Source organism: Homo sapiens, chromosome 12 (assembly GCF_000001405.40).
Source record: "Homo sapiens chromosome 12, GRCh38.p14 Primary Assembly".
NCBI lineage: Eukaryota > Metazoa > Chordata > Mammalia > Primates > Hominidae > Homo > Homo sapiens.
In genome coordinates, this window is record NC_000012.12 from 51,017,800 (window position 1) to 51,045,469 (window position 27,670).

At 45.3% G+C, this 27,670-nt stretch overlaps 1 protein-coding gene and 1 pseudogene across 32 annotated transcripts in view, besides 5 other annotated features; one reads left to right on the plus strand and one right to left on the minus strand.

Moving 5' to 3' along the window:
- SLC11A2 (solute carrier family 11 member 2) overlaps window positions 1-11,087 on the minus strand; it is a 76,624-nt gene extending 65,537 nt beyond the window's left edge. For 12 of the 32 annotated variants that reach the window (XR_007063077.1, XR_007063078.1, NR_166669.1 and 9 more), the window contains exon 1: window positions 8,516-8,585. Coding sequence is in view for 4 of the 32 variants with exons in the window: in XM_047428887.1 (XP_047284843.1) it covers window positions 10,378-10,426 (49 nt within the window). In the remaining 28 variants the exon portion in view is untranslated. Of the gene's footprint in view, window positions 1-6,561; window positions 6,976-7,873; window positions 8,586-10,377; window positions 10,613-10,711 lie in introns of those variants that run through there. The other 20 variants (NR_166668.1, NR_166670.1, NR_183178.1 and 17 more) reach the window with 7 other exon arrangements.
- Window positions 7,545-8,158: an enhancer, noted in NCBI's record as "H3K27ac hESC enhancer chr12:51419127-51419740 (GRCh37/hg19 assembly coordinates)". NCBI's record gives its function as "activates a minimal SCP1, AML or CMV promoter by ChIP-STARR-seq in primed H9 embryonic stem cells {active_cell/tissue: H9 hESC(primed)}" and the evidence as "EXISTENCE:reporter gene assay evidence [ECO:0000049][PMID:30033119]".
- Window positions 8,159-8,770: an enhancer, noted in NCBI's record as "H3K27ac hESC enhancer chr12:51419741-51420352 (GRCh37/hg19 assembly coordinates)". NCBI's record gives its function as "activates a minimal SCP1, AML or CMV promoter by ChIP-STARR-seq in primed H9 embryonic stem cells {active_cell/tissue: H9 hESC(primed)}" and the evidence as "EXISTENCE:reporter gene assay evidence [ECO:0000049][PMID:30033119]".
- Window positions 8,159-8,965: a biological region, named in NCBI's record as "H3K27ac hESC enhancer GRCh37_chr12:51419741-51420352".
- Window positions 8,176-8,235: a silencer, noted in NCBI's record as "silent region_4456". NCBI's record gives its function as "represses an Ori minimal core promoter by ATAC-STARR-seq in GM12878 lymphoblastoid cells {active_cell/tissue: GM12878}" and the evidence as "EXISTENCE:reporter gene assay evidence [ECO:0000049][PMID:35858748]".
- Window positions 8,246-8,965: a silencer, noted in NCBI's record as "silent region_4457". NCBI's record gives its function as "represses an Ori minimal core promoter by ATAC-STARR-seq in GM12878 lymphoblastoid cells {active_cell/tissue: GM12878}" and the evidence as "EXISTENCE:reporter gene assay evidence [ECO:0000049][PMID:35858748]".
- RNU6-1273P (RNA, U6 small nuclear 1273, pseudogene) lies at window positions 19,700-19,803 on the plus strand (annotated as a pseudogene).

Here is a 27,670-nt window from a genome sequence, read left to right on the forward strand (position 1 = left end):
AATATTAAAAATCCCCTCTCAGGAAAGCATTCCTGACTCCCTAATTTGGCTTAAGTGGCTTCTCCGTGTTCCCTCAAGGCACCCACTGCTTACCACTGTCATTTTCTTGAAAATTGTCCATTCCCTGGTACTACTCTTACAACTTTTCTGCAAGTTTGAAATTATATGAAAATTAAGTTACCCCCCAAAACACATACTAGCTATAATAAATTCTAACATCTAATTAACAGTAATTCTGTATATTCTCTTAGCATTTATAAGAACTCTGGAAGAACAATTTGGATAGCCCAAACCTGTTTTAAAAACTGCCCCTGGCTGGGTGGGGTGGTTCACACCTGTAATCCCAGCACTTTGGGAAGCCAAGGTGGGTGGATCACTTGAGGTCAGGAGGTCGAGACCAGCCTGGCCAACATGACAAAACCCCGTCTCTACTAAAAATACAAAAATTAGCCGGGCGTGGTTGTGGGTGCCTGTAATCCCAGCTATTGGGAGGCTGAGGCAGGAGAAACGCTTGAACCTGGGAAGTGGAGGTTGCAGTGAGCCGAGATCATGCCACTGCACTCCAGCCTGGGCAACCAAGCAAGACCCCATCTCAAAAAAAAAACAAAAAACACAAAACAGAAAACTGCCCCTAAGAAAGTTTGAAATACTGAGTATTAATATATACAACTTCAACTTTTTTTTTTTTAATCTACGGTTAAAACAAAAGTTTGGGCCGAGTGCGGTGGCTCAAGCCTGTAATCCTAGCATTTTGGAAGGCCAAGGCGAGCAGAGTTCAATGCCAGCCTGGGCAACAGGGCAAAACCCCATCCCTACAAAAAATATACAAAAATTAGCTGGGTGTGGTAGTGCGTGCTACTTGGGAGACTGAGGTGGGCAGACTGCTTGAGCCTGGGAGGTTGTGGCTGCAGTGAGCCGTGATCAGGGCACCCCAGCCTGGGCTACAGAGCAAGACCCTGTCTGTCATAAACAAATAAATAAATAAATAAATAGTTTGGGTTTGAAATAATTCGTTTTCATATAAAATTCCCCTATAGAGAATAAAGGTACTCAAAACCATTTCACTAGTCTTACAGCTGAAAAGGTCTCCCTAAAATTAATTGTAGGTTTAGAGAGGAATGTTTTTAAATACAGTCCCTTAATTCTTTCCTCCTTTTTTTTCATCACCTTCCTCATCTCAATAAAATCAAAGACAACATTAAATAGGAAAAAACTTTCATAGAAGCAGCCAGAAAGGTGTCTTCATGGAAGTAACTGATGAAATAAATGCTAGCAAGAATGCGTTCAAGCTACATGGCAAAGCCACCTCTTCCTCTTGACACTGTTCAGTTCATTCTTCCTCAGGCACTGTTCAGTGCCAGAGACATGCTAGTGACAAAAGAGAAACTGCTAGGTGCACAGATCAAGGCTTAGCGACACCCAAAGTGTTTATTAGAGAATAACAAAGAATTCTCATTTTTTAAAAAAATTATATTTGTCCTAAAGAAAATGAAAAGGTTTCTAGATTCTTCTAAAATTCTCTTTTCCCTAATGGTCTACTTCAAGGCCAAAGTACTTGACAGTTCTACTAAACCATTACTGTATTATTAACACAACACCTTGTTGTACCAGGTGCTCTTCATGAAGGTGGGCTCCTGCCATTTGGATGACTGACAGTCAACAAAACTTTCTGAAATATTCTAGCAGCTCAAACAGAGCTAATTATTTTCTGAACCCTATGTATTTTAATGAGGAAGGTTATTAATCACTTTTTTAAAATAAGAGATTATTACTCTCCCTCTATTTTTCCATTCTAGGTCATGAAGAAGCAGCATTTTCTGAGTCTATCAAAAATATCCATCCAACTTTTTTTTTTTTTTTTTTTTTGAGATAGTGTCTTGCTCTGTCACCCAGGCTGGAGTGCAGTGGCGTGGTCTCAGCTCACTGTAGCTTCAACCTCCTGGGCTCAAGTGATCCTCCCGCCTCAGCCTCCCAAGTAGCTGGGACTAGAGGCGTGTGCCATGCCCTGCCAATTTTTGTATTTGTTGTAGAGACATGGTTTCACCATGTTGCCCAGGCTGGTCTTGAACTCCTGGGGTCAAAGGATCCATCCACCTCAGCCTTCCAAAGTGCTGGGATTACAGGTATGAGCTACCATGCCCAGCCCAATTAGTTCTAAAACTCAATCTGCTCCCATTCGAGGTGTGGGGAAAGAAACAGCTTAGAATAGACATGTGAATTTCCAAATTGTTCTTGAAGGTATAAAGTCTGGTATTGTTTTTTATTTTATTTTTTGAGACAGGGTCTTACAGAACAATTATTTACATATTTCTAGCCTCCCAGGCTACAGTGCAGTTGCACAATCCCAGGCTCAAGTGATCCTCCCACCTCAGCCTCCCAAGTTCCCAAGTAGCTGAGACTACAGGCACGTACCACCACAGCTGGCTTTTTTTTTTTTTTGTAAAGGTGGGGTCTTGCTATGTTACTCAGGCTGGTCTCAAACTCCTGGGCTCAAGTGAGGTATTATTTTTTACACTGGAGTAAGTTTATCCTGTTTTCCTCTTATTAAAATGAATTTGATATAAAATGATACACAGAAAAAAAAAGTCAGGTTGAAGACTGATTATGTGTACTTCATGGTAAACAGTGAAAAGCCCCTGTGGTAAGTATTCATTTTAGAAAAAGGCCTCAAAACTCTAATCCCCTCTACTCAAGTGGGTAATATTAGAATGTCTTCAACCAAAAGCCACACAAACACACTCAGTTTATAAAGTACAAACAGAGCTGCTATTATACAATGCGCTTAACATGAACCAGTCTCTCTCTCTCTCTCTGGCATAATGGCCACTGAGATACAGTCAGGCCTCTGTAACCCTGGGTTCCACATTTGTGGTTTCAAACAACTGCAGATCAAAAAGATTTGGGGGAAAAAACGGTTGCTTGTGCCTGTACTGAACATATACACCATTTTTTTCTTGGTATTATTCCCTAAACAATACAGAACAATTATTTACATAGCAATTACATTGTATTAAGTATTATAGACCCAGTGCAGTTGCTCACACCTGTAATCCCAGCACTTTGGGAGGCTGAGGCAGCCCAGAAATTTGAGACCAGCCTGGGCGACATAGTGAGACATTGTCTCTACAAAAAATTTAAGAATTAGCCATGTGTGATGGCCACACTCCTGTAGTCCCAACTACTCAGGAGGCTAAGGTGGGAGGATCCCTTGAGCCCAGGAAGTCAAAGCTGCAGCGAACCATGATTGCACCACTACGCTCCAGGCTGGATGACAAAGCGAGACCCTGTCTAGAAGAAAAAGAGGGGGATTATAATTGATATAACTAATCTAGAGGTGATTTTAAGTACATGGGACGATGTACATAAGTTAAATGCAAATACTACACCATTTTATAGGGACTTAAGCATCATCCCAGGATTTTGGTATGCATGTGAGTGAGGTCCTGGAACCAATCCCCTACAGACACCAAACCATACTTTGCATGCCCTAGTAATAATCTCAAAATTGGAGACATCCTATTTAACTTACAAAACCACAATTTCGGGCCAGGCGCGGTGGCTCACACCCATAATGCCAGCACTTTGGGAGGCAGAGGCAGGTGGATCATTTGAGGTCAGGAGTTCAAGACCAGCCTTGCCAACATGGCAAAACCCCATCTCTACTAAAAATACAATAATTAGCCAGGCAGTAGTGGCACGTGCCTGTAATCCCAGCTACTTGGGAGGCTGAGGCAGGAGAATCGCTTGAGCCTGGGAGGCAGAGGTTGCGGTGAGCTGAGATCACACCACTGCTCTCCAGCCTGGGTGACATAGTGAGACCCTGTCTCAAAAAAAAAAAAAGACAACCACAACTTCAACTCAACACCAAGTTTGCTGTTTCTCACCTGAGCTGGACTTTTAAGTGTTTTGTAGTTGAATGAAAAACCTGACATTGAGACCATCTTAAGATAAAGAAAAAAGAAAAAGAGAAAGTGGAGAAAATGTTAGGAAGCAAGAAGAGGAGGGGGGAGGAAGATGTAAGGAGGAAGAGTACAGCTGATAATGAAACCAGCTGCCTGGGTGTCAAAAACGATAACAGTTGGGAGAAATGTGGCCAGGCTGTCAAGGAGTACTTATCTTTTAAACAAAAATATCACACATCAACCAGAGACATCAGAATTAGAAGGGGCTGGTACCCATTAAATACAACTCTTCACCTTCTCCCATCAGCACTCTTGAGGCTTAACCAGCTTCCAAATCTCCCTGAATGCTCACAAGTCAGGGTCACTAAAGTCTTACTTCCAGTGACTATAGCTTCGTCTTTGTTCTTCCCAACTCTGTGTGAGCTTCCTCTAAACTTCCTCCTAACCAGAAGTTTACAGCAGTGTGTTTCCTTTTGGGGGACAAACCTGGCCTCCTGATCTGACACCTCTATCATGGAACACAATGCCAAGCTCTGTGAACAATTTCAAAGACCCCTTTCTATTGGAATAAGAAAATTCCCTATTAGACTGGCCATGGTGGCTCACATCTGTAATCCCTTAGCACTTTGGGAGGCTGAGGCGGGAGGATTGCGTGAGCCCAAAAGCTTGAGACCAGCCTGGGCAACATAGCAAGAAACCCAGTCTCCATTAAAAAAAAAAAAAAATTACTTTTTTCCAAAAAAAAAAAAAAAAAAATCCCCTATTAAACCAGCCTATACCTACTTCTTGCCTCAGAAAATATGTTTTGTCCTCACACTTAAGTAGCTTTTCTCTGGCAAATATGAAGAATTTTCATTAGATTACATTCAACCCATTTTTCCTAATGATGGATATTGGCTCCCAAATGATGTAGATTGACCTTAACAACTTTAAGTAAATATTGTCCTCCAAGTTTCTTTTCCTAAAAGCAAAGAAAAATTAAGACAATATATACTACAAGATTCTCCAGCCTTTAACAAGCCTCTTTCTGCTCTTTGAAACCTGGTAAAGTTTTAATAATTAACTTGTAGCTTTCTTCTTTCATTTCCTAGGAGTTTTAACAGCTATCAGCTTAGTAGAGATGAGACCAAAACAAACACAAACCTGACACAAAATGACTTATCGGCAATAAGCACCAAAACAAGACTAAAAACCCTAATTTGTTCCTTATGCCAAAAAATATAAATTACTTTAACCTGAAATTAAAAGTGGAAGAGAAGTTAGGCCATTTTGATCATTGCTGGCCAATTGTTTTATATTCCATTATGATTTCATTAAAATATACCTTATTATATACATGTCATTTTATTGTATCTAGAATATTCCTGATGATGCCTTGAAGGCTCTTCTTTGTGTCTCAAGGGGCCAATTAATGTAAATTGCTCCATAAATATTTGTTAAATTATAAAAAGAATAAATGGCAAGGCTGGGCGCAGTGGCTCATGCCTGTAATCCCAGCACTTTGGGAGGCCAAGGCAGGAAGATTGCTTGAACCTAGGAGTTCAAGACCAGCCTGGGCAATATAGTGAGAACTCAACTCTACAAAAAAATTAAAAATTAGCTGAGCATGGTGGCGCAAGCCTGTAGTCCCAGCAACTCAGGAGGCTCTAGTGGGAGGATCGCTTAAGCCTGGAATGTGGAGGTTGCAGTGAACCAAGACTGAACCACTGCACTCCAGCCTGGGCAAGAGAGCGAGACCCTGTCTCAAAAATATAAAAATAAAGAATAAATGGCAGCAAGTAAGTGAGACATGGTCTGCATCTTCTAATTCATTATATTCCGCTCATTCAAATGCCCCTACCTTTTTTCCCAGAATGTTTTACTCAAACTACAGAGCCTCAGAGAGATGATAATAATGACAATATTAGGGCAGCAGACTTCCCTTTCTGCCTCAAACACACTCAGTTCTTTAAAGGTGTCATTCCCATGCCTCTCAGGGAAAAACAGATTACAAAGACATTGTCCTTCACTCTTACCAGGCCAACTTCCAACTTTAAATCCTAAAGAAGTATTAAACTGGTTGGGCACGGTGGCTGGCACCCAGGGGCTCAAGACAACCTGGGCAACCTAGTAAGACTCCATCTCCACAAAAAAATTTTTAAAAATTAGGGGTGGTGGCATGCACTTGTACTCCCAGCTACTAGGGAGGCTGTGGCAGGAGAATCACTTGAGCCTGGGAGGTCAACCCTGCAGTGAGCTGTGATCATGCCACTGCACTCCAACCTGGGTTACAGAGCCAGACCTTGTCTTGTGGGGGGTGGGAGGGGAAGTCTTGAACTCTCTTATTCCAAAACTAAACAACTAAACTTATACCAACTGCACTTCAACTAAATTTGGCCAGCATGCAGCTGAAGTAAGCAATGTTTTTTTTCATAAACTTAAAGTTTCTCATTTTCTGACTAGTTCCTAATAATGCTATGTGTATAAATAGCCGCTTCTTTGAAGGGAAGAATTAGAAGACAAAGCAGTCTTCCACTGGTGTATCCCAGATAGCACCACGAGAATATGAGAAGGCTTTTTAAGGCCATAGGAAGGGCAGATATCTGTCAGCAGACATTTGTACGTATGTGCATGGTGAGGAGGCAGAGAATAAAGATGTCTTTGATTCAACAACACTCACCCAAATTCTTAGCAATGAAAGTCAAACAAGAAAGATCTGGCAGGGCGCGGTGGCTCACACCACCCCAGCACTTCGGAAGGCCGATACAGGTGGATCACTTGAGGTCAGGAGTTCCAGACCAGCCTGGCCAACATGGTGAAACCCCGTCACTACTAAAAATACAAAAAAAATTCGCCAGGCATCAAGAGGCTGAGGCAGGAGAATCGCTTGAACCCGGGAGGCAGAGGTTGCAGTGAGCCGAGATCGCGCTATTACATTCCAGCCTGGGCAACAAGAGCGAAACTCCGTATCAAAAAACGAAAGAAAGAAAGAAAAAGATCCTACTTTGTAGATATAATTCTCTAACCTTCACTGAGTCATAACTGAACCAAAGCTGCCTACTAGCTTTGTAGAGTAATCCAAGGGACCACTGCTGATTTCCTAACATTAGAGTAAGATTAGATTCATAAGAAGCTTCCCCATTCCTTAACAAGAAGTGCTGCCAGGCTACCCAGAAATTCCCCTCCCGAGTCCCACTGCCATTCCGGAAACATGAGAAACCAAGTATGCTGCAATCATGGCCTTTTTAGTACTGGCTCCAAAATAAACTGAGTAGGCCAAGCAAGACTGTCAATGAAATACTGTCCAATGAAAAAATAAACAGCCGAAGGTTTCAGGTTTCATTTACCCAACACAGGTATCACAATAAATGACCTAGTATAATGATAGTTTCCAACCGTATTTAATAAAACAAACACGCAGCAGAAATCCTCTAGTCACATATAACTACACTATACCCTCAGATCAAAGTTAATGATGTCAATGGAAAGTATAGGCCGGCGGGTTCACTGGTGATAAGTCATGAGACTCTGAGCAAAGAATAAGTAATAAGGTTAGAATTCTTTAGAAGTGTTAAGGGGAAAGAAGGTAACAACAACAAAAACTCCTCCACATCAAGAGTTCTAAGTACTTTGTTGTTTATTAACTAATTTCATACCAACAACCCTGTAAGACTGATATTATCAATCCCCATTTTAAGTACGTGGAACAAAAGAAGAAAGAGGCAAACAACATGCTCAAAGATTTACAAAGCCAAGAAATCATGCGAACTGGTGGGGCTTCGGGTTCCAGAAGTCAGTGTAAACATAGCTTCTCCATTTTTCACCAACAGTCACTAAAATTGAGGCCAGCAAGTTTTTAGAAGCCTATCTCCCCTTGCAAACTCTCCTTCCATATAATTTTTGCTTTTGCAAGAGATGTCACATTTAAGCGGTAGCTTTAAAAGTGGGGACACATGAAACGCACAGCTGGGAGAGCCATCCAGCCCACTTACATATGTGCAATATCCCCCTGTAGAAAAACCCTGCTCATTGGAGCCTGGAATCCAGAGGGTCCCTGAGAGCTACACAAACAGCCTTAAAACCAATCTACCCACAATTACTGAGCCGCGTATGCAGGCTATTCACACAGAAGGCGCTCCCTGAAGTCGGTTAGGTTATAATGAGTCTTTTGTTGAAGCGGGGCGGCGGGAGGCCCCGGAGAGCAGCCCGGCCCCCTGCGGCGCCGACGAAGAGGCCACGAAAGACCTTGCCCTGTGCCCGTCGGCCTCTTTCGAGGCGTCGAAGCAGGTCAGCGCACCCCGACACAGGCCGGGCGCGCCATCCGGTGCAGCTGGGAGCTGGGCCATGTGTCCTAGGCCGCGGCGGGGAAGGGGCGAGACCCCCGCGACCTCCGGCGTTCCCTCCCTGCCCCCATCTTTGGGTCTTTCTCTGAATGGCGCGACTCCATCAGTCCTGGACTCTGGGCCTGAGGCCCTCCCTGGCCACACCTCCCCTCACAGCCCCGCACGGCGAGCCGGTGTCGCATCCTAGCCCCGGAGCCTGACCCCCGACACAGGCCCTCGAGCCGCCCCGCGCCCCTCCCTGCCAGCGAGCGGAATGCCGTGACCCCTGACCTTGCCTTCCCCTCACCTTACCAGCTCCGCAACCACCTGACACGCCGCCCCCGCGCCCAGGGCTCCATATTCCGGGAGCCAGCGCCACGCTGGCTAACGCCCTCCCCTCCCCGCGATTGGTCGACAGGACGGCAGCCGCACATCCCTATTGGCTGGAGTCCCTGCAGCGGCCGGGATGCGTGGCCCGCAGACCAGGGACCTAGGCTCCGCCCACGCGGAGTCTGGATGCGGCGGCCCCTGGGGCACGCGGCGGCCCCTGGGGCACCCGGCGGGAGCTGCATGCTGCCTAGTTGCTGCTTGCGTTGGCCAGACCCACACAGCCCCTGGACTGGGGAGCTCCAGTCCGCTAGCAGTCTGGGGACAGATAAGATTCCTGCCCTAGTTCGCCGTGGCGCCACGTTAGGTACTGACAATCAAGCTACGAGGTATAGCTCTATCCTGTAAAGGGTAGCCAGGCCAGGCGCGGAGGCTCACACTTGTAATGCCCAGCACTTTGGGAGACCGAGGCGGGAGGATCACTTGAGTCCAGGAGTTCGATACCAGCCTGGGCAACATAGTGAGACCCGGTCTCTACAAAAAATTTTAAAATTAGCCAAGCAAAGGCCGGGCGCGGTGGCTCACGCCTGTACTCCCAGCACTTTGGAGGGCCCAGGCGGGCGAATCACCTGAGATCGGGAGTTTGAGACCAGCCTGACCAACATGGAGAAACCCCGTCTTTACTAAAAATACAAAATTAGCCGGGCGTGGTGGCGCATGCCTGTAATCCCAGCTACTCGGGAGGCTGAGGCAAGAGAATCGCTTGAACCCGGGAGGCGGAGGTGCAGTGAGCCGAGATCGCGCCATTGCACTCCAGCCTTGGAAACAAGAGCGAAAACTCCGTCTAAAAAAAAAAAAAAATTAGCCAGGCATCACGGCGCCCGCCTGTGGTCCCAGCTACTCGGGGGCTGAGGTGGGAGAATCACTTGGGCCTGGGAGGTGGAGGCTGCGGTGAGACAAGATCGTGCCACTGCACTCCAGCCTGGGTGGCAGAGCAAAACCCTGTCTCAAAAAAAAAGGATAGCCACCTGGAAGGAACATTTCCTCGCGCCCCCAGAGCCACATCATAGTATCTGCTGCCCCACCAAGAGCACCCCACACCTGGGAGGAACCGAGAAACATCAGCTAGTGCAGCCAGTTTGACCGCCTTAGGTGTCCTCCCAAGCCTCCGTAGTGAATTGTTTTCCTCCTCGCCCAGCTGACTCGATTCTCCCCAGACTTCATCCTACCTACCCAAAAGCAATCCCACTCTATCGCCAGTTTCAGCCTCACACCGTATCTTTTGCTCTGAAGATGAGACTGCCAAACTGGTGAAGAGGGAATAAATGGCCTAACAAATTACCGTAATTTTCTGCAATGTCGTTTACAGCCACCAAAAACATTAGATCCTCCCGCCACCCTCACTCCCCGACCCCTCGCACTGCTTACAGCATTAAAGGTAATTGAGCTTCTTTATTCACGTAAAAACAGCTAGGAGAAAATTTCATTAGTAAGAGAGACCAAGAAATGAGGAAAGGAGCGTGAACTGCAAAGAGAAAAATCCAAATAAAGTGCGAAGTAAAAACAAACTCGGGGACCAAAAAAAAGTGGGGGGGGGGGGCTTGGCTTCCTGGAGCAGGTTGGTTTTCATACAGAATTTCTCCTGGAGAAAAAAGAAAATGCACAAATTAGTTCTGAGATTCTCGCTACAGTACATCTGTGGAGTTTCAGAAAGGTTTGATGAAGTTCCTCCAGATCGGAACCTTTCCTTTGGCAACTTCTATTATAACTAGAAAATAAAATTGCTAGAGCTGTACTTGTCACCCTTTCAGGTCTGCTCAGCTGGGCAGCTTCCCTGGGCTACTTACTTAGTTCACAGTGTGGAGCTGCCTCCGTCTTCAGCTGCTTCTTCCTCATGGTGCAGAACTAGTTTGACTTTCCCAATGCCAGCTCCTGCCTCTATATATGAAGACAAGTGCGCCTCCCTCAGTTAGATAAAGGGCACTTTTGGGTGCTCTAAGCAACACAGCTTTCTAAAGACGAGCAAGGAATTTCAAGAGGCAAACCACGCCCTCCAAAGCCTAATCAGATTTCATCTTTGACCTGTCGTGAAAAGAGAAGCATTATATATCTGCCACTCCTAGATATTAATTAACAATTTATTGAGTTCAAAAATTTTATTCTAAGATTTCATCTCTGTACCATTTGGCAGGAGCAAGAGTAGGTGGCAAGCCTGTGAGTGCCAGTGGTTGAAAGGGGTGGAGTAAGAAATTGCTTCCCTTCTCTGCTCCTCTTGGAGTGCAGCTGGTTCAGGCTCCACAGGTGCACTAGGACTCTGCTCCTCTGAGACGTGAGGTGAAACCATTAACCCCAAGCCTGACAGTGCACTTGTATTTTCCATATAGGTACGTGCAGCACTGAGGCAATTATGAGGAGTCTCAGAACGTGGGTGGAAATGCTGCCTGCTCTATTATCCCTCGGGATCTAAAGGACCCTCTGGCTTCAGCCTGGTCAATCAGTGATCCACGAGCAGACATCAGAGCCACGCAAACTCCGGACTTGGTGCCTGATGGAAAAGAAAAAGAAAGGAAAAAAACCCAGAGACTACAAGACAGAAGTCCAGGGCAAGCCTAGAATTTCTCAATCTGGGAGGAGGGGAGCTGAAAGAATGGGGAAATTTTGCCTCAGGGAAATAACTTAGACGACAAAGCTGCATAGGAGAAGCATTGGGGTGGCGTAAAATACAGGAGAGAAGAAAACAGTTTCTTGCAGGTAGCAGGCAGTTTTCTAGAAGTTTTCAAGAAAATCTGCTTAGTACCATAAAAACATAATAGCTTAGAATGGAAAAGAAAGAAAAGCAGTAATCGATTCAAATAAGTCAATGCAGGCTTCCAGCAAGTGGTTCTGGTTCCTACCTAGAACAACCATTGAGTCAGGAGAAAGAATTATGGATCTCCTGCCCAGGGATCCAGATGAAAGGTCTCTTTGCTTCAGGGCTCTCTTAATCACGAAAGTCAAATAACTACAACTTGACCTGTCTCCTGTCCTTGTTCTACATCAGGTAACTTCCCCAAGGCAAAGCTGTCTCTGCAGATTGGACTGGGGGCCAATTTGTTCCACTTGAAGGGAAAATAGAAGCACCTGTAAAATCACCCACGAACTAAAGTCTTGGCAGGAAAAAGCCTATTTGAGTTTAGGAATTCTTACCCTGGGCAACATAAGGAGACCCCCTCTCTACAAAAAATTTTAAAATTACCTGAGTGTAGTGGAACGTGCCTGTGGAACATCCCAGCTTCTTGGGAGGCTGAGGTGGGAGGATCATTTGAGGCTAGGAGGTCAAGGCTGCAGTGCGTCGTGATCACACCAGAGCACTCCAGCCTCTGCGACAGAGCAAGACCCTGTCTCAAAAAAGTGGGAGTGTAGAAGGGACAAAGAAATCTGTAACTGTTATGAGTGTCAGGTTTAGACTACGCCAAAGGTCATGTTGAGGTCCGGAGGTAGTGGGTGGATGAGCAGAAAGAACACTTGGGGAGCTGTAGACAGGTGAAAGATGATTTTATTCAGCAGCAGCTCTCATCAACAGCTTTCTCACACTGTCTGCCCTGTCTCGACTGCTTAGTCTGGCTCCCACATACAGTTGTGTGCCCCCTGCCTTCAGGGTCAGCAGCTTAACTCTCTGAGCATGAGCAAGCTGAGCTGTGTCCTGGCTCCCCTCCGTCCATCTGCAAAAAACACACTCCATTTTTGCCTTCTTGGTCCCCAATTTATACTTAAGAGTAACTGACAACCTTAATTGAATTTTTATTGTGTACCAAACGCTATATTTAACACTTCACAAGCATTAATCCTTGTAGTAGGCTGGCACAAAAATTCACGCCTGCAATCCCAGCACTTTGGGAGGCCGAGGCAGGCAGATCACTTGAGGCCAGGAGTTTGAAAACAGCCTGGGCAACATAGCGAGACCATGACTCTACCAAAAAAACAATCCTCATAATAAACTAATGGGGCAGGAAGTATTATTTATTATTATTCTCATTTTGCAAATTAGGAATCTGAGACTTGGAGTATAATTTGCCTAAGGACACAGCTAGTTAGTGGCAAAGCCAGGCTTTGAACACAAATCTGTTAGACCCACGAGCCAAGACTCAACCACCACACCATATTGGGACCTCCATCTTGTACACCTTAAACAATTCCCTTCCATTAAAAAATTGAGACAAGAATAACATAGGGTAGTCACAGAAGAACAGAAAACTCCAGGAGTTCAAGACTGCAGTGAACTGTGATCATGCAAATGCACTCCAACTTGGGCAACAGAGCAAGACCCTGTCTCTGAAAAAAAAAATTAAAAAAAAAAACAAAAAAAACCACTGTGGATTGCGGCCAGGCACAGTGGTTCACGCCTGTAATCCCAGCACTTTGGGAGGCCAAGGCGGGAAGATCCCTTGAGCTCAGGAGTTTGGGACCAGCCTGGCCAACATGGTGAAACCCTGTTTCTAATAAAAATACAAAAGTTAGCTGGGTGTGGTGGTAGGTGCCTGTAGTCCCAGCCACTTGGGAGGCTCAGGCAGGAGAATTGCTTGAACCCAGGAGGCAGAGGTTGCAGTGAGCTGAGATGGCACCACTTCATTCCAGCGAAAAAAAAAAAACTGTAGGTTGCAACCAGAATATTTTTTCTTTTCTTTTTTTTATTAAGAGAGCCCTGAAGCAAAGAGACCTTTCATCTGGGTCCCTGGGCAGGAGATCCATAATTCTTTCTCCTGACTCAATGGTTGTTCTAGGTAGTTGGACACAGCAAGAAAACAGGGTCTCCCTATATTGCCCAGGCTGGTTTCAAACTTCAGGACTCAAGGGATCCACCTGCCTTGGCCTTCCAAAGTGCTGAAATAAAACAGAATTTTTTTTTTTTTTTTTTCTGAGACAGAGTCTTGCTCTGTCACCCAGGCTAAAATGCAGTGGCGCAATCTTGGCTCACTGCAACCTCTGCCTCCCAGGTTCAAGCAATTCTCCTGCCTCAGCCTCCCAAGTAGCTGGTATTACAGGCATCCGTCACCACACCCAGCTAATTTTTGTATTATTAGTAGAGTCGGGGGGTTTCACCATGTTGGCCAGGCTGGTCTCGAACTCCTGACCTTGTGATCTGCCCGCCTCAGCCTCCCAAAGTGCTGGCATGACAGGCGTGAGCCACTGCGCCCAGCCAGAATTTTTAAAAAATAGAATAGAAAATATCAGAGAATGTCACAGGCACTAAGGTAGGTATTGTTTTGTGCAACTTTAAGAGTGTGTGCGTGTGTGTGTATGTATGTACGGGGTTACTGTAAAATATATTTCTTGGCTGGACACGGTGGCTCTCACCTATAATCTCAGCACTTTGGGAGGCCAAGGCAGAAGGATCACTTGAGCCCAGGAGTTCAAAACCAGCCAGGGCAACATAATGAGATCCTATCTTTACAAAAAATAAAAAATTAGGCCAGGCGCAGTGGCTCACACCTGTAATTCCAGCATTTTGGGAGGCTGAGGTGGGCCGATCACTTGAGCTCAGGAGTTTGAGACCAAGTGGGCAACATGGCAAGACCTCATCTCTAAAAAAAATACAAAAATTAGCTGGGAGCGGTGGCACATGCCTATAGTCCCAGCTACTGGGGAGGCTGAGGCAGGATAATCACTTGAGCCCGGGAGGCAGAGGTTGCAATGAGCTGAGATCACACCACTGCACTCCAGCCTGGGCAATGGGAGTGAAACCCTGTCTCAAAAAAGAAATAAATAAAAATAAAACTTAGCCAGGCATGGTGGTGCAAGACTGTAATCCCAGCTACTCAGGAGGCTGAGGGAGGAAAATTGCTTGAACCCAGGAGGTGGAGGTTGCAGTGAGCCGAGATCACACCACTGCACTCCAGCCTGGGCGACAGAGCGAGATGGATCTCAAAAAAAAAAAAAAATCAGCCAGGCATGGTAGCCTGCTCCTGTAGTCCCAGCTACTCTGGAGGCTGAGGCAGGAGGATCCCTTGAGCCCAGGAGTTCAAGGCTGCAGTGTGCTATGATTGTGTACTTCACTCCAGCCTGGGTGACAGGGTGAGACCCCATCTCTTTTTTTTTTTTTTGAGACAGAGTCTCACTCTGTCACCCAGGCTGGGGTGCAGTGGCGCAATCTCGGCTCACTGCAACCTCCATCTCCCGGGTTCAAGCAATTCTCCTGCCTCAGCCTCCTGAGTAGCTGGGACTACAGTCTTGCACCACCACGCCTGGCTAATTTTTGTATTTTTAGTAGAGATAGGATTTCACCATATTGGCCAGGCTGGTCTCAAACTCCTGACCTTGTGATCCACCCTCCTTGGCCTTCCAAAGTGCTGGGATTATAGGCGTGAGCCACCGCGCCTGGCCTGAGACCCCATCTCTTAAAAAAAAAAAATTAGCCAGGCTCAGTGGCTCACACCTATAATCTGAGCACTTTGGGAAGCTGAGGCAGGAGGATCCTTTGAGCCCAGGAATTCAAGGTTGCAGTGAGCTATGATTATACCTCTGCACTCCAGCCTGGGTAGCAGAGTGAGACTGTGTTTCAAAAAAAAAAAAATTACTAAATAAAAAAAAATGTATGCCCTACCTCACATAATTGTGTTAAAATTAAGTGATATGTAAATACAAGATTATTTTATAAACTATAAAAATGTTCATAAGTCTTAGGTAAAAACCTGTATATAATATTAAGTAAACAAGTGAAATTCGACGTAGTAGAAATTATACAGCTAAATGTGCATTAGGTATGGTTTTGTTTTGTTGTGTTTTGTGATTGTCAATGACAGAAACCCAATTCAAACTGCTTGTGCTCAAAAGGAGCTGAATCACTCACATAAACTGGGAAACCCAACAACACAGCTCACTGTAGGCAGGACTGAAGCTGGGGACCCAGATATCACCAAGTCACTGTCCACCTGTCCGTTTCCTTTTTTCCCTCCCCCACCCCTCCTCCTTCTTTTTTTTTTTTTTTTTGTAATAGGGACAGGGTCTCATTTTGTTGCCCAGGCTGATCTCACACTTCTGGTTTCAAGCGATCCTCCTGCCTCAACATCCCAAAATTCTGGGATTACAGGCTAGGGCCACTGCACCAGGCCCTGTCTCTTTCTTTCTATTTCTCACTCTCTAGTCTCTGCTTTAGAATCAGTGTGGTTTTGTTCTCAGGCAGGTTTCCCTGCATGATAGAACAGTGACCACCATCTGCACTGGGCTGACTTGGTCCTTTTTCCTATAGTTCCAGCAAAAGTCCCAGGGAAACTTACTCAGGAGGCTGAGGCAGGAGGAACACATGGGCCCAGGAGGCAGAGGTTGCAGTGAGATTGCACCACTGCACTCCAGCCTGGGCAACAGAGCAAGACTCTGTCTCAAAACAAAAACAAAAACAAAACAAAACAAAACAAAAAAGATGAGTAGTGTCCTAGCCTAGACTCCAAGAAGTCTTTCCAGACTAACACAGAAAGCTCTGCCTGCTACCTAGCTTGGGTCATGAGCCAGTCCCAAACCAAAAACAGTGACCATGGGGTGCCTGGGACACAAGCTGATCCTTGGAGGCAGGGGGTGGGGTCAGCCCTGCTTGAGTCACCTGAACTGAAAAAGAGGTTGGTGGCGGAGTCTTCTCAAGGGGTAGAGTGAGAGATTCAGAATGATTGCGCTTTTTTTTTTATTTGAGACAGAGTCTCGTTCTATCACCCAGGCTGGAGTGCAGTGGCACGACCTAGGCTCACTGCAACCTCCACCTCCCAGATTCAAGCAATTCTCCTGCCTCAGCCTCCCAAGTAGCTGGGATTACAGGTGCCTGCCATCACGCCTGGCTAATTTTTGTATTTGTTTTGTTTTGTTTTGTTTTTTGAGACAGAGTTTCACTCTTTCGCCCAGGCTGGAGTGCAGTGGCACTATCTCGGCTCACTGCAACCTCTGCCTTCTGGTTTCAAGTGATTCTCCTGCCTCAGCCTCCCAAGAAGCTGGGATTACAGGTGCCCACAACCTCGCCTGTCTAATTTTTGTATTTTTAGGAGAGACAGGGCTTCACCATGTTGGCCAGGCTGGTCTCGAACTTCTGACCTCGTGATCCACCCACCTTGGCCTCCCAAAGTGCTGGGATGACAGGCGTGAGCCACCGTGCTGGGCCTAATTTTTGTATTTTTTTGGTAGAGACAGGGTTTCACCATGTTGGCCAGGCTGGTCTCGAACTCCTGACCTCAGGTGATCCGCCCACCTTGGCCTCCCAAAGTGCAGGCGAAAGCCACCCCGCCCGGCCTATGACTGTACTTCTAATGCTGAATAGGATTAGTCTAGAAAGACTTCTTGGAGTCTAGGACACTACTGATCTTGCTGTTAGTTTCTTCTGTTTAATTTTCTCATATGCCAATCAATGCAGTAAGGATACACAACATATATGTTCATTTAATTTAGTTTCATTCATTTAACAAGTGCACTATTTGTAGATAATCTACTATGTTCCAGGCACTGATTCTGGGCAGTGGGATATAGCAATGATAAAGACATAAAAAGTTCCTGTTCTCTGAAAACGTATATTCTGTGGGGCAGACAGATAACAACCAGTCAATAAGTATACATCGATAAGTACAGATCATTAAATTTTATTAAAAACAAATTTAAAAATCAGGAAATGGAGCAGGGAGATCAGGACTATTTCAGAAGAGATGGTTAAATACCTCGCTCAGTGACTTTTGCTTTTTTTTTAAATTTATTTATCTTATTTTTTGAGACAGAGTCTAGCTCTGTCACCCAGGCTGGAGTGCAGTGGCGCAATCTTGGCTCACTGCAACCTCCACCTCCTAGGTTCAAGCGATTCTCCTGCCTCAGCCTCCTGAGTAGCTGGGATTACAGGTGTGGGCCACCACACCCGACTAATTTTTATATATTTTTTATTTTAGTAGAGATGGGGTTTCACCATGTTGGCCAGGCTGGTCTCGAACTCCTGACCTCGTGATCCGCCCGCCTCAGCCTCCCAAAGTGCTGGGATTACAGGCGTGAGCCACCGCGCCCGGCCACTTTTCGTTTTGGTTTTTTGAGAGAGAGTCTCACTCTTACCCAGGCTGGAGGGCAGTGGTGCGATCTCAGCTCACTGCAACCTCTGCCTCCTGGGTTCAAGCAATTCTCCTGCCTCCCTGAGTAGCTGGGATTACAGGCACATGCCACCACGCCTGGGTAACTTTTGTATTTTTAGTAGAGATGGGGTTTCACCATGTTGCCCAGGGTGGTCTCAAACTCCTTACCTCAAGTGATCCACCCACCCTGGCCTCCTAAAGTGCTGGAATTACAGGTGTGAGCCACTGCATCCAGCCCATGTACATTTCTTAATGAATATATATGAAATATGTTAACCTTTTTTTCTACATTGAAACAATTTTTATGACAGTGATATCAAACTGCAAAATCCTTGAGGCCTTTCTAATATTGATTCAGCTAGGTAAGACATTTATGAGTCTTGCTGAATGTGCAAATGCATTTAAATTGAGAGCACAGCCGGGTGCAGTAGCTCACGCCTGTAATCCCAGCACTTTGGGAGGCCGAGGTGGGGGATCACCTGAGGTCAGGAGTTGGAGACCAGCCTGACCAACATGGTGAAACCCCATCTCTACTAAAAATACAAAAATTAGCTGGGCGTGATGGCGGGCCCCTGTAATCCCGGCTTCTAGGGAGGCTGAGGCAGGAGAATCTCTTGAACCTGGGAGGTGGAGGTTGTGGTAAGCCGAGATCACACCATTGCACTCCAGCCTGGGGGACAGAGTGAGACTCCATCTCAAAAATTAAAAAATAGTAAAAATAAATAAATAAATTGAGAGCACTTTGAGGCAAGGGCTTCCTTTCTTTTATAGGAACTGAACACAGAGGAAGCTCAGTAAATGGTGCTAGTGGAACAACGGGGGTACCACAGTGAATATCAATACTGATGAGAGGGCCCCCAGGTGACCCTGCCAAAGCTGGGTGGGGAAAATTTTCCTCAAAGAGTTTCCTTAACTCTGTCCTTTTGCTCTAATTGCTGTGGACGTGCCAGGCAGCACAAAGTGACTCCTGAGGGTGGTTCCTGCTGATGCTGGGTAAAGGTCCACTTATTGAGAGCTAAGTGCTAACACAAAGTAAAAACTCCTCTGATTTCAAGCGTTAGTGAGGCTTATGTTGCTTGGAGGAGAAAAAGCTTGGAGTGGGGCACATGTGTGGAGGATGGAAAAGGAGAGGATGGGAGAAGTCAGAAGAGACCCACCCTACCTAGTTGATTGATGACAGTTTCCCTGAACTTGGAACCCCTATAGCAAATACATACTAGGCACTGCTTGTCACCCAGTGATGCCTTTATCCTTGAATTGCACCGACTTTGATGTGTTTGATGTTAATTCTTTACTATATACAGTAGTTCTAGATTGCTCTTTTTTATTGTTATATGGTTTGTCCTTTGCTTATCTGTTTTATTAATTTTCAGAGTATAAATTCTTAGACTATATTTGTGAATAATACATTCTAAATTTAGTTCAGTGTCTACCTTAATTGCCCATTGCAAGCAATCACTGATAAAAACTTTTCTGTTTTTTGTTTGTTTGTTTTTAAGACAAAGTCTCACTCTGTCACCCAGGATGGAATACAGTGGCATGATCTTGGCTAACTGCAACCTCCCGGGTTCAAGCAATTCTCCTGCCTCAGCCTCCCAAGTAGCTGGGATTACAGGTGCATGCCACCATGCCCGGCTAATTTTTGTATTTTTAGTAGAGACGGGGTTTCACCATGTTGGCCAGGCTGGTCTTGAACTCCTGACCTCGTAATCCACCTGCCTCAGCCTCCCAAAGTGCTGGGATTACAGGCATAAGCCACTGCGCCCGGCCCCCCCACTTGCTTCTTTAAAGGCCTTCAGTGAACCAAGATCACCACTGCACTCCAGCCTGGTGACAGAGCGAGACTCTGTCTCAAAAAAAAAATAAGGCCTTTGAAGAGCTATTCTAAGCCTGGGGCCTTTTATATTCCCATTCTCTTCAAGAAAAAGACTCTGAGGGAGGAGATTAGAAGCAGAGAGTCCCAAAGATGGTGAAGAATCACATAATGAGGCGCTGAAGTATCAGAAGACAGAAAAGGAATAGGCAAAAATAAACTCCAGGGCAATTAAATATCTAAAGTTGTAAAAACAAAACAAAACAAAACACCAACCAACTTCAAAATTATCTGGTGCTCACTTTGGCAGCACATATGCTACAACTGGAATGATACAGAGATTAGCATGGACCCTGTGCAAGGATGACACGCAAATTCATGAAGCATTCCATATATATTTTTTAAAATTTATTTTTAAAGGCTGAGCACAGTGGTTCACACCTGTAATCCCAGCACTTTGGGAGGCTGAGGCAGGCAGATCACTTGAGTCCAGGAGTGTGAGACCAGCCTGAGCAACATGGTGAAACCCCGTCTCTACAAAAAATACAAAAATTAGCCAGGCATGGTGGTGCATGCCTGTAGTCCCAGCTACCTGGGAGGCTGAGGCAGGAGGGCCGTTTGAGCCCAGGATGTGGAGGTTGCAGTGGGTTGAGATTGCACCATTGCAGTCCAGCTTAGGTGACAGAGTGAGACCTTGTCTCAAAAACAACAACAAAATTATTTGAAAAAATATATAGTATTTTTATAATCAAGATAAAATTTTAACAATAAAATTATGAAAAAGCAGAAGTAAAAATGGACCATTCTGATTCAATTGACTATTAAAAATATTTAAAACTCCCATCTAAAAAACTTTTTTTTCTTTTCTTTTTTTTTTTTTTTTTTGACACAAATTCTCACCCTGTCGCCCAGGCTGGAGTGCAGTGGTCCAATCACAGCTCACTGCAGCCTTGACCTCCTGGGCTCAGGTGATCCTCCCACCTCAGCCTCCCAAGTAGCTGGGACTACAGGCACATGCCACGACGCCTGGCTAATTTTTTCCAAATTAAACTGACAATGATATTTGTTTCACATCTACAGGACCATCAATAATCTAAAATTCTGACCATTTCAAGTGTCAGTGAGGATATGGAAAAACTAGGACTCTGATATCCTGTAAAACTGATACACCCACTTTGGAGAGCAACTTGATAATATCTACTCAAGTTGAAAATGCACTTATTCTTTGATCTAGAGAGTCTACTTCCAGATAAATGCCTTACAGCATTGTTTTTCAATCCATTAGTGAGTCATAAAATCAATGTAGTGAGTCATGTCCAGCATTTTACAAAAATGAAATAGGACAGAATGCAATAGAGTAGGAAACAGAGTGCATATAGCAAGGGCAGGTATTATTTTGTTAAATTTTTATTTCATCTATGAACTGGGTCTCAATATAAAACATATTTCCATAGTGGTTTCAAAAAAAAAAACCTCTAAAAACATTCCTTCATAGAAACTCTCATCCATTAGCACTAGGAGACCTGTTGGAGGATATTCCCTGAAATGTAGTGTTTGTAATAATGAAACACTAAAAACAATGTAAATGTCAATCAGTAGCAAATGGATAAGCAAATTGGGGTGTATTCATGTGATGGAACACCATTCAGCAAGCTAAATGAATGAACTTGCTGGGCCAGTGGCTCACACATGTAATCCCAGCACTTTGGGAGGCTGAGGTGGGTGGATCACCTGAGGTCAGGAGTTTGAGACCAGCCAGGTCAACATGGCAAAACCCTGTCTCTAATAAAAATACAAAAATTAGCCTGGTGTGGTGGCATGTGCCTGTAATCCCAGCTACCCAGGAGGCTGAGGCAGAAGAATCGCTTGAACCCGGGAGGTGGAGGTTGCAGTGAGCGAAGATCATGCCACTGCACTCCAGCCTGGGTGACAGAGCAAGACTCCATCTCAAAAGAAAAGAATAAAAATTTAAAAAATTGAGAAAATAAAATAAATCAATGAACTTAATCTAGATGAACAAATTATGAAAACAAAGTTAAGGAAACAAAACAAGATGCAGGAAAATAAGTGCCACATGAAACAAATTACATGAATTTTTAAAACATTAAGAAATACCATATATATGTAAATGTTCATATGTATGTATATGTATGTGTATAGATGTATGTATGTATATATGTATGTGTGTGTAAATACATCATAGATAGATAGATAGACATTCAAAGAATTAAAAGCAGACTAGGCTGGGCACAGTGGCTCATGCTTGTAATCCCAGCACTTTGAGAGGCCGAGGTGGGCGGACCACTTGAGGTCAGGAGTTCGAGACCAGACTGGCCAACATGGCGAAACCCCGTCTCTACTAAAAATACAAAAATTAGCCAGGCATTGTGGTACAGGCCTGTAGTCCCAGCTACTCAGAGGCTAAGGCAGGAAAATCGCTGAAACCCAGGAGGTGGAGGTTGCAGTTAGCCGAGATTGTGCCACTGCACTGCAGCCTGAGAGACAGAGTGAGACTCTGTCTCAAAAAATAAAACAATTAAAAATTTTTAAAAAATGAAAGTAGGCTAATATAAAAGTGATGCCTAAAGGGAAGGAGAAAAGGAAGAGAATTGGACTTGGAAGGCGAAAATAGGTATGATACTATTTATTCATTTTGGGTAGTGGATACATAGAGAAATGTTATAGTATTCTTTCTTATTATCCTTTTAAAACATTTTTAATACATACAAAAGAAATAGGATTAGGTGGGTTTTTGGGAATTAGGTTTTACTCTTGCTCAGAGAGTATCATAAAACTGTATTAACCATTGGTTATTAAGACCCTTGGCCAGGGCTGGGCGCGGTGGCTCATGCCTGTAATCCCTGCACTTTGGGAGGCCAAGGTGAGTGGCTCACCTGAGGTCAGAAGTTTGAAACCAGCCTGGCCAACATGATGAAACACTATCTCTACTAAAAATACAAAAAATTAGCTGGGTGTGGTGGTGGGTGCCTGTAATCCCAGCTACTCAAGAGGCTGAGGCAGAAGAATTGCTTGAGCCCAGAGGGCGGAAGTTGCAGTGAGCCAAGATGGTGTCACTGCACCCAGCCTGGGCAACAAGAGTGAAACTGTCTCAAACAAAACAAAACAAAACAAAACCCTTGGCAGGGCTGGGCGCAGCGGCTCACGCCTGTAATCCCAGCACTTTGGGAGGCCGAGGCAGGTGGATCACTTGAGTTCAACACCAGCCTGGGCAACAGGCCAGGCTAGAAACCCTGTCTCTACTAAAACAAAATTAGCCAGTCGGGCATGGTGGTACATGACCTGTAGTCCCAGCTACTTGGGAGGCTGAGGCACCAGAATCACTTGAACTCAGGAGGTGCAGGTTGCAGTGAGCTGATATTCAGACACTGCGCTCCAGCCTGAGCAACAGAGCAAGACGCTGTCTCAATAAATAAATAAATAAATAAAACCCTTGGCCGGGTTCGGTGTGGTTCATGCCTGTAATCCTGGCAATTTGGGAGACTGAGGTAGGAGGGTTGCTTGAGGCCAGGAGTTTGAGACTGACCTGGGCAACATAGTGAGGCCTTGTCTCTACAAAAAAATTAAAACTCACTTAAAAAAAAAAATCCCTCTTTAAGACTGGGCCCAGTGGTTCACACCTGTAATCCTAGTCCTCTGGGAGATCAAGGTAGAAGAATCCCTTGAGGCCAGGAGTTTAAGACCAGCCTGGACAACATGGCAAGACCACCTCTCTATAAACAGATTAAAATACAAACAAAAACTCTTTCATTCTGGTATTTCCCCCCCAGTTCCTTGGGAAGAATAACTGTCCCGAATCAGCTTGTCAAATTTAGTGAATTAGTAACTAAAAGTGGCAAATCACTGCAGTTATTACCTCTGCTACAAAAAGAAACTTTACCTTTCCCTAAGGTTGCATTCTTCCATATCTTTGCACATATTGTTCCTTCTTTCTTCCTAGAAATGATACTCCCAGTGATACTTGGGTTTGGGGGCTCCAATCTTGTGCCATTTATTCCTACTACTTGTCTGCCAAGCAATCTCCAATTGACTCTCCACAACCTACTTCAAATCTGATGTTTCTTCACCTGGAAGCACCACTACTGCCACCACCATCAGAATTTATAAATTTACAGCCAGGCACAGTGGCTCACACCTGTCATCCCAGCTACTCAAGAGGCTGAGGCAGGGAGAAGTGCTTGAACCCAGGAGGCAGAGGTTGCAGTGAGCCGAGATCACACCATTGCACTCCAGCCTGGGTGACAGAGCGAGACTCTGTCTAAAAAAAAAAAAAAATTATGAATTTACTACTCCTTCAACTTTTTTTTTTTTTTTGAGACAGAGTCTCACTCTGTTGCCCAGGCTGGAGTGAAGTGGTGTGATCTTGGCTCACTATAATCTCCACCTCCCGGGTTCAAGCGATCCTCCCACCTCAGCCTCTAGGGTAGCTGGGATTATGGGCAAGCACCACCACGCCTGGCTAATATTTGTATTTTTGGTAGAGACGGGGTTTCACCACGTTGGTCAGGCTGGTCTCAAAGTCCTGACCTCAAAGATCTTCCCCCCTTGGCCTCCCAAAGTGCTGAGATTACAGGTGTGAACCACTGCACCCAGCTGCACATTTTAATGTAAGGCAATGCCTTACGTTTCCCAAGGAGAAGAACTAAAAGATAGTTTTTGGCCAACCTTTTATGAAGTAGTCAGATGTCTACTTTAAACATCTACTTAGTGGAAAATGTAAGTCTAATATTATTTAGCAACACATATTTTAAACCACATATAAAACATTTATTTAGAAATAATGCTTTTTCAGTCAAATTTTATATCATAATTTTATTCAAATCATCAATGTCATCATCATTCACGCCACTTTTATCGTTAACTAGCCCAATTTGCAGAGCAAGACATCCTTACATGTATCTAAGTTGAGGACAGTTTTTTTTTTTTTTAGTTCATGCTATGTTTGTATGTTCTTGGCTTATACAATATAATTTCTGTTTGTTTGTTTGTTTTTGAGATGGAGTTTTGCTCTTGTTGCCCAGGCTGGAGTGCAATGGCGTGATCTTGGCTTACTGCAACCTCCACCTCCTGGGTACAAGTGATTCTCCTGCCTCAGCCTCCCGAGTAGCTGGAATTACAGGCATGCACCACCACGCCTGGCTAATTTTGTATTTTTAGTAGAGATGGGGGTTTCTCCTTGTTGGTCAGGCTGGTCCCAAACTCCTGACCTCAGGTGATCCACCCGCCTCAGCCTCCCAAAGTGCTGAGATTACAGGTATGAGCCACTGCGCCCGGCATGTTTTTTGTTTTTTGGGTTTTACTGAAATAGATTCTGGGTTTGTCACCCAGGCTGGAGTGCAGTGGTGCAATCTCAGCTCACTGCAACCTCCGTCTCCCAGGTTCAAGCGATTCTCCTGCCTCAGCCTCCCGAGTAGCCAGGATTACAGGTGCTTGCCACCTCACCCAGCTAATTTTTGTATTTTTAGTAGAGACAGGGTTTCACCATATTGGCCAGGCTGGTCTCGATCCGCCTGCCTTGGCTTTTCAAAGTGCTGGTATTACAGCATGATCCACTGTGCCTAACCCTTTCTGGTTTTTTGTTTTGTTTTCTTGAGATGGAGTCTCCCTCTGTCACCCAGGCTGGAGTGCAGTGGCATGATCTCGGCTCACTGCAACCTCCCCCTCCCGGGTTCAAGTGATTCTCCTGCCTCAGTCTCCTGAGTAGCTGGGATTACAGGTGCACACCACCACGCCTGGCTAATTTTTGTATTTTTAGTAGAGACGGGATTTCACCATGTTGGTCAGGCTGGTCTCAAACTCCTGACTTCGTGATCCGCCCACCTTGGCCTCCCAAAGTGCTGGGATTACAGGCATGAGCCACTGTGCTCAGCCTCTGTAGTTTTTATTTTATTTTTGAGATGAAGTCTCACTCTGTCACCCAGGCTGGAGTACAGTGGCATGATCTCAGCTCACTGCAACCTCCACCTCCCGGGTTCAAGTGATTCTCCTGCTTCAGCCTCCAGAGTAGCTGGGATTACAGGCGTGTGCCACCACGCCCAGCTAATTTTTGTATTTTTGGTAGAGACGTGGTTTCACTATCTTGCCCAGGCTGGTCTCGAACTCCTGACCTCAAGTGATCATCCTCCTCAGCCTCCCAAAGTGCTGGGATTACAAATATGAGCCACTGCGCTTGGCCATATTCATTTAATAAATATTTAATAAGCCCCCCTTGTGTGCCAGGGACTGGAATACAGTGAGCTTAGACTCCTGTGGGGAAGATAGCCATGAAATGTATAATGACACAGCTAATTAATTATGATGTTAAGTACTATGAAAAATAAGTATAGCTAGCTACAAAGTGAGTAACAGGAACCTCAGTCTGTGGGGTTAAGAGTTTCCTGTAACAGAGCTGTTTATATACAGTGCAGCACTAACTCATATGCCCAGCCTGCCTGGGTTCAAATTCTGACTCAATCTTGAGCAGATTATTGAACCTCATTTTCCTCATGTATAAAGTGGAGCTAGGTCTGGCTTAGTGACTCACACCTATGTGAACCCAAAATATCTGAGACAGGTCTCAATCAATTTAGAAAGTTTATTTTGCCAAGGTCAAGGACATGACACAGCCTTAGGAGGTCCTGATGACACGTGCCCAAGGTGGTTGTGGCACAGCTTGGTTTTTCTTTTTTTTTTTTTTTTTGAGACAGAGTTTCGCTCTTGTTGCTCAGGCTGGAGGCAATGGCGTGATCTCGGCTCACCGCAACCTCTGCCTCCCGGGTTCAAGCAATTTTCCTCTCTCAGCCTCCTGAATAGCTGGGATTACAGGTGTATGTCACCATGCCCAGCTAATTTTTGTTTTTTTTTTTCTTTTTGAGATGGAGTTCCGTTCTTGTTGCCCAGGCTGGAGTGCAGTGGCGCAATCTCAGCTCACCACAACCTCCGCCTCCCGGGTTCAAGCGATTCTTCTCCCTTGGCCTCCTGAGTAGTTGGGATTACTGGTATACGCCACCAAGTCTGGCTAATTTTGTATTTTTAGTAGAGACGGGGTTTCTCCATGTTGGTCAGGCTGGTCTTGAACTCCCGACCTCAGGTGATCCACCTGCCTTGGCCTCCCAAAGTGCTGGGATTACAGGCATGGACCACTGCGCCAAGCCTAAGTTTTATATTTTTAGTAGAGACGGGGTTTCATCATATTGGTCAGGCTAGTCTTGAACTCCTGACCTCAGGTGATTTGCCTGCCTCAGCTTCCCAAAGTGCTGGGATTACAGGTGTGAGTCACTGTGCCCAGCCCACAGCCTTTTGTTTGTTTGTTTTTTGAGACACAGTCTCACTCTGTTGCCCAGGCTGGAGTGCAATGGTGTGATCTCAGCTCACTGCAACCTCCGCCTCCCAAGTTAAAGTGATTCTCCTGCCTCAGCCTCCTGAGTAGCTGCAGCTGGGATTATAGGCACGCACCACCATGCCCGGCTAATTTTTGTATTTTTAGAAGAGATGGGGTTTCACCATGTTGGCCAGGATGGTCTTGATCTCCTGACCTCGTGATTCGCCCGCCTCGGCCTCCCAAAGTGCTGGGATTACAGGCGTGAGCCACCGCGCCCAGTCGGAAACCTGAAAGGTTTTATAAAGAGAAATGACAAGCTTAGATTTGCAATTTTAAAAGCTCTCTCTGGTTACATACAACATGGAGAACTGGTTGGAGGGAGGACAAAACATATGGCAGGGAAACCAGTAAAGAGGCTGCTGTAGAAGTGGGGACCAGAGGCTTGCAGCTTAGCCTAGGGTGGTGGCAGAGAAGATAGAAGGAAGCTGGCTGATTGAAGAACAGCTAGAAGATAGAACCAACAAGATGCATGTGTGTGTGTGTGTGTGTGTGCGTGTGCACGCGCGTGTGTGTGTGTGTGTGTGTGTGTGTGTGTGTGTGTAGCGGGGGAAAGGGGGAAGAGGCCTAAACACTAAATAAATATCTCAGGAAAGGGCTGGGTGCAGTGGCTCAAGTCTGTAATCCCAGCACTTTGGGAGATCAAGGCAGGGGAATTGCTTGAGTCTAGGAGTTCAAGATCAGCCTGGCTAACGTGGCAAATCTCTATCTCTACTAAAAACACAAAAATTAGCTGGGCGTGGCGGCATGCGCCTGTAATCCCAGCTACTTGGGAGGCTGAGGTGAGAGGACCACTTGAGCCCAGGAGATCAAGGCTGCAGTGAGCCATGATGGGGCCACTGCACTCTAGCCTGGGCGACACAGCGAGACCCTATGAAAGAAAGAAAGAG